The following is a 12,929-nucleotide window of genomic DNA, read 5'->3' on the forward strand; positions in this document are numbered from 1 at the left end:
TCTCCTTTGATTCCCTCCCAGGCCTTCATCCTTGCTTACCTCTAAGCTTCAATCCTTTCTGGAGACTGGGATTACCCTGCTTACTTACAGCTGGATCTACCAAAGCATGATAGTTGAACTGAATTCTGCAAAATAGTGGAATCATCTCCTGACCAGAATGAAATGTACAAATCCAAGGGAGTGCACAATTCTGGCTGCCAGGGATTCTGGGAGGTTCAGGGGCTGTCTGAGAACCCAGGGCACTTAGGAAGTGGGAAAGACAAAAAAGGGGGTGCCCCCCAAACAACCCTACTTCCTTACCAAAGGTGCCTGGGGCCAGCTTTGCAGAGAGGGCCTGAATGAGGCTTAGCGTATTTCTGTGATTACAAGATATGGAATTTATCTAAATAAGACATTAGCGATACATCACTATACTTCATACATGCTAGAGTAGGTCTCAGTATGGAGGAAGTGAGTATCATCCTGCAATCATAATAAAATCTCAATTATCCACAAGCACACAACCTAACCTCCTCATGGCTTTCCTCTACTGTGCCCTGTGTTTTCTGGGGACTCATCTCCATACATGCTTAGGATTAGGGATGACAAGGCAATTTTCCTGTTTGTCTAAAAAGAATGGTATTCGTGCAATCATACTGCCTTAGGCAGTTATACGATCCATACCAAAGGCAAATATAAATGCACTTTGTGAAGCTCTAGTAAGTGGAAGGTTACCTGTTACAACTTCCTCCAAGTTACCCTCAGAAGGAATAAGGAAGCCACAGACTGAAGCTGGTAACCAGTGTTCATAGTCTGTAACTTCCTGTATTTATTGTTTTTGAGGCAGTTACCATTAGGATCACTGGCTTGATGACAGTGATGCCCAAAGAAAGGGCATCATAAACAAATTGGGGCTGAGGCAATGGTACAGAGGGTTTCTCAGAGATGGCATAGAGAGCTCTGGGTTCAGACCCACCTGGGTCCAAGTCTCAGCTTGTCCACTTCTGACCTGTACAACCCCCACAAGTTGTTGAGTAACCTCTCTCAGTCTCACTTTTCTCGTAAAATGAAGACACCAATACCTGCATCATTGGACTGTGATGAGGGTCATAAACTAACAATGCTTAGTGCTGTCTCAGTAGAATTCTTATTCAAAAGACAAATTCCACCTAAACATACCCTTCACTTATCATTTTTTATTCTCTCCCTCTCTCTCTCTCCTGGACATCACCCTGAAATAGTTAAGTTTCTAGAGCAGAATTTGAACTTGTGAATCATTGAATCTTAACTTTCTCTGAGGCATTTCCAAGCAATGCTTCTGCTGAATGCTACTTAACATGACATTTTCCCCCACTGCACCAAAAAAAAACCTCAGTTAATGGCCTAATAAGCAAAGGAAGACTATTTCAAAAAATGGGCTTGGAGAACATTAGAAAAGCAGGGAAAGTGCCTTCCGGAGGATCTTAGAAGAGAATCACAAGCATCCATCAACCACTATTTCTATTGGATTGTTTGGCCAGCTAGAGAATTTTTTTTTTTTCTGAAAAAAATTTTCTGAAGGTGATATTCATCTTCAGCGAAAAGACAGAGACAGTCTCATATATAAGGGAAAATCAGTAACTAACAGCATGCACAAGTTTCAAAAATGAGTCACTGGTTACCATGGTGATGAAAATATAACCTAACAAATCACTGGGCTGTAAGTAACCAAGATGATGCTAAGTACATTATTTTTAAAATGGGAAAAAATGTCTGTATTTTTAGGAATACTTGCAAGGAACTAGATGGACAAAGCAGCAAACTGAAGGCAGCCCAGGATCGACCCTGTGGAGCCAGGAGTCACCGTCATCTCCTGCTCTGTGCGTGCTGAGCTCCGTGACACATGCACACCCACAGCTGTGCCCAGTGACAGCTGCATGAGGAAGAGCAATGACACCGTATTTACAAACAAAGAACTACGATAGGGAAGATGAGTCTTCTCACTCCTTAAACTCTTCATAAAAGAATAATCTCTGCTACAGCCCACTGAAGATGAAAAACTCCATGACAGACTTTGTGGCCAGTCCTTTATAAACTCAACTTCAAGAATGTCCTCAGGCAAAACAAGATTCCCAGAAAATAACTAAGATACACCATAAAATAATAATTTCCTCCATTCTCAATAGTTTGAATGTTCTGAGTATATATGAATTTTAATCAGGAAAAAAGCATAACCATTATATGATGTTAATAATTTTCAAATTATGCCAAGAAATGGCAGCACACAAACACATTCCTACATACTTTGTTTTTTGTTGTTGTTTTTGTTTTTGAGATGGAGGCTTGCTCTGTCACTTAGGCTGGAGTGCAGTGGTACAGTCTTGGCTCACTGCAACCTCCACATCCCAGGTTCAAGTGATACTCCTGCCTCAGCCTCCTGAGTGGGACTACAGGCATGTGCCACCACACCCAACTAATTTTTGTATTTTTAGTAGAGACGTGGTTTTGCCATGTTGGCCAGGCTGGTCTCGAACTCCTGACCTCAGGTGACCCACCCGCCTTGGCCTCCCAAAGTGCTGGGATTACAGATGTGAACCACGTGCCCAGCCCACATTCCTAAATTGAACTTTGTGCACAACTTCTGGACAGAAGGCATAATGTCCTGTACACATGGGTTCCAACTCTTTAGAAAATAGGCCCCAGGGCTGTTTCTCCCAGTGGTTCCAGGTATCCAGCATGAGACTGCCCAGAGGGTGCCTTAAAAATGAAAACTCCTAGGCTATATCCAAGTCCCACTCACTCTGAGTCTCTGGGGTTGGGATCTAAAGCCCTACATATTTTTTTAAGGGTTCACTGTACCATGCTTATGTTCTCTATGAAGTCTGAGAACCCCATCTTTAGTAATCTTCACTACACTGAGGTCTCCAGACAATGGTGACAGAAGACAGGACACCACCAGGGGCCATCTACTAGCACAGATTATTCACAGCCAGAACTATTCACGACTCAACAGCTTTTTTACCACAACCCAGGGTAAATCACCAGTGTAATCTACATGTATTATACATGTGGGTAGGTGGAACAAATATTTCACAAGCAACACAGGAGATATACTCTGACCTAATCTACTCTACTATGTTCCAGTGTTTAATGCTCTGACAACTAACTGAATTGATTTCACTACTCACTAACTGGTATGAATGAAATGATGGCAATACCTTTAACTGCTATCATTTAACTTGGATTTCTATATAACCTCTTTAATCTCACAAAGAATAGCATGCAAATTATATAGATGCAGTATAAAATAAATGAAAAACATTAAGAAACTGAAGCAAAGGGAAAATAGAGACAGGAAACTAAACGTTTAAGTCAAAGGAATCAAAGGTAAACTTAATATACAAGGCATGCCAGGAAATCAAGTTCACTTGTTAACTCCCAGCTTTGTTTTTTCTTTTTCTCTCGAGATGGAGTCTCGCTCTGTCGCTCAGGCTGGAGTGCAGTGGCACGATCTCTGCTCACTGCAACCTCCGCCTCCCAGGTCCAAGTGATCCTCCCACCTCAGCTTCCCGAACAGCTTGGATTACAGGCGCCCATCACCATACCCAGCTAATTTATGTATTTTTAGTAGAGACGGGGTTTCACCATGTTGGCCAGGCTGATCTCGAACTCCTGACCTCAAGTGATCTGCCGCCCTTGGCCTCCCAAAGTGCTGGAATTACAGACGTGAGCCACCGCACCTGGCCCAGTTCCCAGCTTTGTAACAATCAATGTTACAAAGAAACATTTGACGTGAAGAAGAAAACAGCATCAGTTACAAAATTCCCAGTGTTCATCTGGGAAGAACGAAGCAATTTCTGAGAAGCATTCAGGCCTTTGAGGCCTCTCTCCTGCTGAACTGAATGCCCTCCCTCCTTCTTTGGGGTAGAGCAAGGGAGTCCTAAGGGGAAGTAGAACCCTTGTTACTGCCTCCACCTTCTACCACCACCTGATTCATGGATAAAATTACAGTCACTCTAGGGACTACTGACTGGGACAAAGCCTGCAAGACACTGAAGCCTGAGGCCACCCGATTCTCCCTCCTTCAAGAGTACTTTGTACTCACTTCTGTTTCAGCACTGGCCACCTTGTTATAATGACAGCTGTTACCAGGGCTGTTCCTTCCCTCCCTGCTGGCCCCCAAGATTATCAGTTTAGAAGACAAAACTGGCTCATATGCATTTCAGTGAGCTCAACCTAAAGTTGTGTCGGATGCGAAACTATTGTGGAAATTCCAAAAGACAAAAATCAAAGAAGCACAAAAGTCTAAACTTGCTTCTTGTAGAATCAAGTATGAAGCATTAGTCTAACCATTTGTCCTCAATGACTCAGTGTCGTACCTGTTAACCAAAGCCAGTATTTTTATAGCCCAGGTTAGTCTTAAGGAAGAAATCCTAAACAGATGTAATGTGCATGGCTCAGTTCCTGGCATGCAGTATGCACTCAATAAATTCCAGTGTGCCCTTCCTCTATCAGGGATCTTGTACATATTAATTTTACTTGCTCCCAGGGCCATTGCTGTCTTCACAAATCCCTCCTTCTCCTTTAATCTTGCTAAAAAAGATTTAAAATCACCCAAGGAGAGAGCTGGGTTCCCAAGATTCATAGAACACTCTTAGTGCCTACATACATAATTCCACATTTGAAAAGGTTTCTTGTCATTATTTCACGTACTTTAAGCAAGGGTTAGAGGCTACTTTGAAAAAAACAAAATCTGAGAAAGGAAAACCCAACTAAGTCATTAAGTATCAAATAAATTCTTTAACCAAGCAGTAAGAGAGACATATTCACTGTTAGAAGGCAACTGCAGTTGCTAAACAAGACACGAAACATATTTGGTCTTTACTCTTGAGCTGGCAAATATCATCTTGTGGATTCTAAAGTAGCAGTTGTTTGCTTTACAGACTCTATTTTCGTGGATAGTAGAGACCTAAAATTTAGACCTGCATGTCTAGGCCCGAACAAAGAAAACATCATCATGATTTACTTTCCTTCAATATGTATCCCATATTAAATAATGTAGTTGACCTACCTTTTCTGTGATATAGAAGTTTGAACTATCGGCATGCTGGAGTGCAAAATATTCATGGTTGGCAAGAGACCACCTTAAAAATACAAGCGTATACTGATTAGAAAAATGAAAGTGGCCATTTTCATTTTTACAATTTTTTAGTGTTGGATGAACTAAGCACCCTGTGATTGGAATTGGACCAATCCCAACATATACCACAATGCAGTTCCTAAAGCAAAATGACTTTAGCCTACCTTCCATTACCCTGAGACCAATCATTTCATGTGTAGACTGTCTAGACCTGATGCTAGGCCTACTGCTCACCTTTAAGCAGTTCATCCTCAAGGCTTGGTGTGGGAGATTTAAATACAAATCTTTACAATTCTACTTATTTTAAGGGATTGAAGCAAAGAAAGAAAAACAAAGAAAATAAATGCAATTTAAGTTTTTGAAAGTTGGCACATTTTAATTGTCTCTGTATTCTACAATCCCCTATCAGTATAGTTGATGCAGATTGAAACACTCCAATTAAGTACTCTAGACCTTATATAAATTTCAGTTAACACAACTATTTTCACAGTTCTGGTTTAAAAAAAAACAAAGTCATGCAGCTACCATATATACATTTCCTTTGTATTCTTTAGAGCAGCCACAAAGAAGTAGGAAAGTCATATCAGTGTGAGATCCCACGGAGCAGCACAATTACCCACTGCCTTGTCTGTTCAATTCTTTCATCCTCTATGGGGACCTGAGTGGTCCTCTCAGTTTATACCAGATCAAGTGTATACTGTGTCCTCAAAAACCTTTAGAGTACTCCCTGCTAGGTAGGACAAAAGGAACACAACTTCCTAAAATAAATAAAGCCAACCCCACTGTGCACATAACAGCCATTTCACACTTTCTGCTCTTTGAGGACTAATGGTGAATTCTGTTGGAAAAGGGTGTGATATTCCTACACAGTAATTCTTATTGACTTTGAGCAAGTCAGTGGGTGACTTATGAATAATATTTTACTATCCTACTGGAAATATATTATTTGCTTGTCAATTTATCAACTAGAATGCCTTAGATAAATCCTGAGTAACACTTACCCATCACAGACTTCCTTTATTATTGCAGACAGTGGTTTTTTCTGCAAAATAACAAAAAAGGAAATACTTGTTAGTTTCGTTTCATCATTTTAAATTAAAAAAAAGAAGAAGCTTCATAAAAAGATTATCTAAGCAAAGAGAATTTACATTTGCTATTCTTAGTTGTTGTCAATGAGTCTCTTATTTTTCTCAAGGTAACAATCTACCAGCTGTCACCACCAAATTTATTAATGATTTATTACCCCTGTGGTCCTTTTTTCTATACTTAGCATATTAGTTGAACAAAATATGCATCATATTTAATTTAGCCACACTGAAATTAGGGTGAAAATATAACTTTGTTCAAAGATCTCACAGAAAATGGAAGCCCATGAGGCCAAGTCAAAACCAGAATCCCTCAGGAGTAGTACATGAATCAGGCAAGCTGCAGTTTGGCTTCATGCAAAAAGCCTGGATTCATGATATTTTTATAAGAACATGTGGCAAATGGAAAATGAGGTGTTACGAAATGGTTCTTACAAAGTACATAGAATTCTTCCCCTGATGATGGCCCCAATAAATGCCAATCATGCAGCAGCTTGAGCCAGACACACTCCAGTAATGCGACCATGACACCATGTGCCCTGGTGTCAACTGGCGGGTGACTACAGCTGTTCTGTTGTGCCTAACAGCCACACTTGTGCTCCGCCTGCCCCCAAGATAGAAGGAATGCAGCAGAGAGACACACCAGCTCTCCCAGAGATGTGGAAACTCTTCCTGTTTTGGATGCAAACAAGACCCTGTCTGTCTCTAGGATGGGGAGTATCATGTCAACCCAAAGAACAAATCACAGACAAGAAATGAATGAGGAAGAGAAGATGAGAAATCAGAGATGGACAATACATGGTCCTGGATTTTCAGATACAAAACCATAAAAAAGCTGTCTACATATAAGCAGGTTTTACTCCTGTCTATATGAAGGGCAATGTGGTATCTGCGAAGAGATTCTGAATCCAATAGATCAGTTCAAATCCAGCTCTATCAGCTTGTTTGCAGCGTAAGTAACCGCAATTTTCTTCATTTGCTGAACCCCAGTTAGTTTATCTGTAAAATGGCAATAGGTTCTACCTACCCCTCAGGCTGTTATAAAAATTAAATTATATTAATTATATTAAATTAATACAAAGGGCAAAAGACTTCAAAAAAGGATTAGGACTCCTGAAAGGGCTCCATTTCCTCCTTGCATCCTCACCCTTGGACGTGATGCTATCTACGCCTGCTCCATTGGTGAATTCTGAACACCGTTTGTATAGTCCTCTCCAAGGGCCTCCCTAACCCCTGCTAAAGGCCCAGTTCAGTGTACGGTGTCCCTCCAGTGAACTCTCTCCCACTGGAGCTCAATCCTCTATGAGCACATTCACTACCACGTGTGCAGAAGAATGTCTGTCTTCGCCTACAACTATAAACACACTTGGAGGTGTTTGTTGCAGCACTATTCACAATATCCAAGATTTGAAAGCAATCTAAGAGTCCATCAACAGATGAATGGATAAAGAAAATGTGGAACATATACACAATGAAGTATTCAGCCATAAAAAGAATGAGATCCTGTCATTTGCAATAACATGGATGGAACTGGAAGCCATTATGTTAAGTGAAATAAGCCAGGCACAGAAAGACAAACATCACATGTTCTCATTTATTTGTGGGATCGAAAAATCAAAACAATTGAACTCATGGAGATAGAGAGTAGAAGAATGGTTACCAGAAGCTGTGAAGGGTAGTGGCAGGGTTTGTGGGAGAGGTGGGGATGGTTAATGAGTTCCAAAAAAAAATAAAGAATGATAAGACCTAGTATTTGGTAGCACAACAGGGTGACTATAGTCAATAATTTAATTGCACATTTTAAAATAACTAAAACGGTATAACTGGATTGTTTGTAACACAAAGGATAAATGCTTGACGGGATAGATACATCATTTTCCACAATAAAATTATTATATATTCCATGCCTGTGTCAAAACATTTCATGTAACCCACAAATACATATACCTACTAAGTACGCACAAAAGTTAAAAAAATAAATGAATGCGGTTGGAGAGAAAAGGAAACCTAGAATTACTGAGGAGCAGAAAGATGGTGGGGGTATTCCTTATATCCTGAATCTGTCCTCTAGAATAAGATGACAATGGCAATTGGGTTCTACTGTAGTTACATGTTACATAAGTCCTAGGCCTTTGCAAGAAGCTGTCCACTGTTTATGGCTCTTGCTGTGAGCTGAGGAACAAATGTGTTCGCTCAACCAAATGACAAAGGAACTTCAGAAACAAAACTTATTTCCATAAGACAAGAATTTTGCCCTTCCAGCTGCCAGAGATCCCTGTAGGCCATCGATCTGTGATTACTTATCAGAGAATCTCCCCAAATTTCACTTCATGCACCCTCAAAAATGAAACATAAATAACGGAGCCAGGTTTTAGTCTTAAATTACATTGAAACAAAAAGTCAGGCCAAGAAGGTATTGTTGAGGTAGGAGAAGGCATCAAAAGCAACTGCTCCCAGATTTAGACTTAGAGACTGAAGTCTCAGAGGAATTACTTGGATTTTAATTCAGGTCTGATTCATAGATAGAGAATCAAGTTTTAAAAGACAGAGGTCTCTAGGGTACTATTATACCTAGAACATAATGAAGTTGGATATATGAAAGGAATAAAGACCACAGATGCACAAAGCTTAGAGACTTAACAGACAAAGATGAAAGAAAAACTAAACCACAGAGGAAAAAGAATTATAGTTGAGTGAACACCCATAGGTTAGCCTAGCCAATCAAAATGAGTGTTACATAATGGTGGGCCCCTCCATTCTTCCATCTACCCCAATCAAACATTAGCCCTCACCACCCAAAAACTAATTCCAATAACCTTTTCACCGGTCTTACTTTCCTTTTCCTGTCTGCCTTATTTGACACTGTTACTACTTCCTTCTTTTTGAAACCCCCTTTCCAGAGCTTCTATGATATAGCGCAATATTTTCTTCATTCTCCTACACATATAACTAATCCTTCAATGAAGTCCAACAAATCCTTCATAGTTGCTCTTTTACCTGTAGCTCTCTAATTCCAGATTTCTTTTCTCCTCTTTTCTGCTTTTATTTAATCAGTCAGTTCCTCATGGATCTCATTCTCTTCAACTGTCCTAAGTCTACAGCTGTAGCCCCACTCTCTTGCAAATCTCTAACAGTCTGTTAGACAGAACATTTTAACTCTCCTGCAGGTATCTTATTAAAAGTGGAAACAAAAATCATCACTTTCACATTCCCTACCCCTCAATCTACCCAACGGTAGCACACATCCCTCAGATCCCACACCTGATTCTGCCACGACTTCTCTGCCCTCATTATGGCACCACTACTGCCCAGGAGTCTCGTTAACCTTTATGTCTTCACTCTTCAGATATAAGGTGCTAACAGGTTATGTAGCTGTTTCCTCTGTGATGTCCACAGCATTGCTTCTCACCGCCTAACTCTTCTTCTGAACTCCTGACTCTCCTCATTCCAACTCCTGCCATCAAATAGATCTTTGAGCGTACACCCCAATCTCATCACCCTTAATTCTGCTTCCTCTGACCCAGCACCCTTTCCTGAGTACCAGCCCATCATTAATAACTATTTGCCATGAATTTCCAATCAACTGCTTCCCTAGCGAATCAACCCAAAATCGTACCTTCCATCAGTTCCTACACTCAACTTGCCTACTTTCAGCAGATCTTTGAGGCACATTTCTAGCGAACTTGTCCTTGTCTTCTCTTTCTTCCTTAATACATTCTGTGACATACACATTTACAAGACACTAAGTCTCATCACTACTTCTTCCACAACCTCTCTCCCTTTTTATCTTTCCAGACCTTTCCTACCACCTTTGTTCTAAAGATCCCATCACCAGGTCCCTGCAGATAAGTCTCCACATCTCCAATTTTTTTTTCTCCAATCCCCATGTCAACTATAAATACACAAAATTAGACTTTCCCCACAAACTTTGCTCATATTACTCGTTTGCTCCAATAAAAGTGTAAGTCCCAGCTGAGCATGGTGGCTCACGCCTGTAATCCCAGCACTTTGGGAGGCGGAGGTGGGCGGATCATGAGGTCAGGAGATTGAGACCATTCTGGCCAGAAATGGTGAAACCCTGTCTCTACTAAAATACAAAAAAAATAAATAAATAAATAAAACAATTAGCTGGGCGTGGTGGCCCATGCCTGTAGTTCCAGCTACTCGGGAGCCTGAGGCAGGAGAATTACTTGAATCCAGGAGGTGGAGGTTGCAGTGAGCTGAGATCAAGCGCCACTGCAGTCCAGCCTGGCGACAGAGCAAGACTCTGTCTCAAAAGAAAAAAAAAAAAAAGTGTCAGTCACTTAGCTTGTCAGCCAAAGCCATCCACAATCTGGTCTCTGTAATTCTACTATTCTGTACACGTTCCCCATGCTTCTGGATCTTTATGGTGAGTCACCAAAAACAAACAAACAAAAAAAAATCCCATCTCCACACTTTCGCTCATGCCATTTGCTTTGTTGAAATGGCCCTCTCCTTCTTTCTGTTCCAACTCTAACAAGGGACTCTTACTTACCATTTAATATCCATGTCAAAGCCACCTCCTCTAATCAGATGCCCCCTTATCTCCCTAAATAGATGTAATTACTCCCTCTGTGTACTTAGCACATTAAATTAATAACTTCTGAGGACTCTACATATCTATCTTATCTCTCTGTCCCTTGAGAACAAGGCATCTTAGTTCATTTCTGTAGCCTTCCCCACCCCTCAGTACTAGTTACCACAGTATGTAGGTGTGAATAGGATCTAATAGGAGACTCAATACACCTCTGCTAAATGAAAAAAATCTATACATTCACGAACTTTCCTTTAAAAAACAACAACAACAAAAAAAGCCAACTATTTTTAATGATAGCCTGGATTAACCAGCACGTTTCCCATTTCCTACCACTGCTGGGTGACTGTGAGCAGCCGCTGGCCATAAGCTGTTAGACACTGAAAGCTGTCACTACTCCCTATGCAGAATGATTCATGTAGGAATTAGGCAATTCATGGCTTGGAAGAGCACTGAACACCAGCTGGTAAAGAATGTAATTCAACAGATGATAAATCAGATACCAATCAAACAAGTATCACCATCAGTAAGCATGACCAAAGAGGTGAGCCTTCTACTCTCATAAGCAGACAAGACTGACCAAGATACCCCAATTATCTTGAAAACACTAGCCTGGTATCCTTGTTTGTTCTCATTTCCTATAGAAAGCCCTCTGTCTGACATGAGCTCATTGCCTGACCAGTAAATTCCAAGCCAAACGCCAGCTCTGCCTTATGGACTTTTTAGTTAACATTTGCCCAAAAGGTTACGTAAGGTACGTCTATCTGTCCAATTCTCCAAGACCTGAGAGTAGAGTGATATGAATAATATATTAATACCTTTCTGTAGACCCGCTGAATAATTTGCTTTTCATTTCATTGAAAGAAAAGCCCTAGGAGGCCGGGCGCGGTGGTTCACGCTTGTAATCCCAGCACTTTGGGAGGCCAAGGCAGGCAGATCATGAGGTCAGGAGATCGAGAGCATCCTGGCTAACACGTTGAAACCCCGTCTCTACTAAAAATACAAAAAATTAGCCGGGCGTGGTGGCGGGCGCCTGTAGTCCCAGCTACTCGGGAGGCTGAGGCAGGAGAATGGCGTGAACTCGGGAGGCGGAGCTTGCAGTGAGCCGAGATCGCGCCACTGCACTCTAGCCTGGGCAACAGAGCGAGACTCCGTCTCAAAAAAAAAAAAAAAAAAAAAACACAGAAAAGAAAAAAGAAAAGCCCCAGGAGAAAAATTAATTTAGTTCAAAATGATGAAACTGCTTGATTCTTCTCCCTATAACTCCATAAACCCAAAAGGAACTAAAAAGTAACTCCCTTTTTTTTTTTTTTTTTGTAAACGGAGTCTCCCGTTGTCGCCCAGGTTGGTGTACAGTGGCATGATCTCAGCTCACTGCAACCTCCCCACCTCCCGAGTTCAAGTGATTCTCCTGCCTCAGCCTCCCCAGTAGCTGGGACTACAGGCACGCACCACCACAGTCGGCTAATTTTTGTATTTTTAGTAGAGACGGGGTTTCACTATGTTGGCCAGACTGGTCTCGAACTCCTGACCTCATGATCCGCCCGCCTTGGCCTTCCAAAGTGCTGAGATTACAGGCATGAGCCACCACACCTGGCCCTAAGAATTAACTTCTGTACTCTATTGGAAAATATTTGGGCTGGACGTGGTGGCCCATGCCTGTTATCCCAGCACTTTGGGAGGCCAAGGCAGGTGGATAGTTTGAGCTCAGAAGTTTGAGACCAGCCTAGGCAACATGGCAAAACCTCATCTCTACAAAAAATATAAAAATTAAAGGCTGGATGTGGTGGCTCACGCCTGTAATCCCAGCACATTGGGAGGCCAAGGCAGATGGATCACCTGAGGTCAGGAGTTCGAGACCAGCCTGGCCAACATGGTGAAACCCCATCTCTATTAAAAATACAAAAAATTAGCCAGGCATGGTGGTGGGGACCTATACTCCTATTGACTTGGGAAGCTGAGGCAGGCAGAAAAATCGCTTGAATCTGGGAGGCAGAGGTTGCAGTGAGCTGAGACCGCGCTACTGCACTCCAGCCTGGGCGACAACAGTAAAACTCTCTCTCCAAAAAAAAAAAAAAATACAAAAATACAAAAATTAGCCAGGCACGGTGGCGTGTGCCTATAGTAACAGCTACTTGGGAGGCTGAGGTGGGAGGACTGCTTGAGCCCAGGAAGCAGAGGTCGCAGTGAG

At 41.6% G+C, this 12,929-nt stretch overlaps 1 protein-coding gene across 14 annotated transcripts in view; it reads right to left on the bottom strand.

The window, feature by feature from the left end:
- Window positions 1–12,929, bottom strand: part of ELMO1 (engulfment and cell motility 1) — a 596,421-nt gene that overhangs the window by 456,915 nt on the left and 126,577 nt on the right. For all 14 annotated transcript variants that reach the window (NM_001206480.2, XM_011515654.3, NM_014800.11 and 11 more), the window contains 2 exons: window positions 6,100–6,140; window positions 5,030–5,102 (listed from right to left, as the gene is read on the bottom strand). In NM_001206480.2, the coding sequence (NP_001193409.1) occupies window positions 5,030–5,102; window positions 6,100–6,140 (114 nt within the window). The remainder of the gene's footprint in view (window positions 1–5,029; window positions 5,103–6,099; window positions 6,141–12,929) is intronic.

This window comes from Homo sapiens, chromosome 7, assembly GCF_000001405.40.
Source record: "Homo sapiens chromosome 7, GRCh38.p14 Primary Assembly".
Classification (NCBI taxonomy): Eukaryota; Metazoa; Chordata; class Mammalia; order Primates; family Hominidae; genus Homo; species Homo sapiens.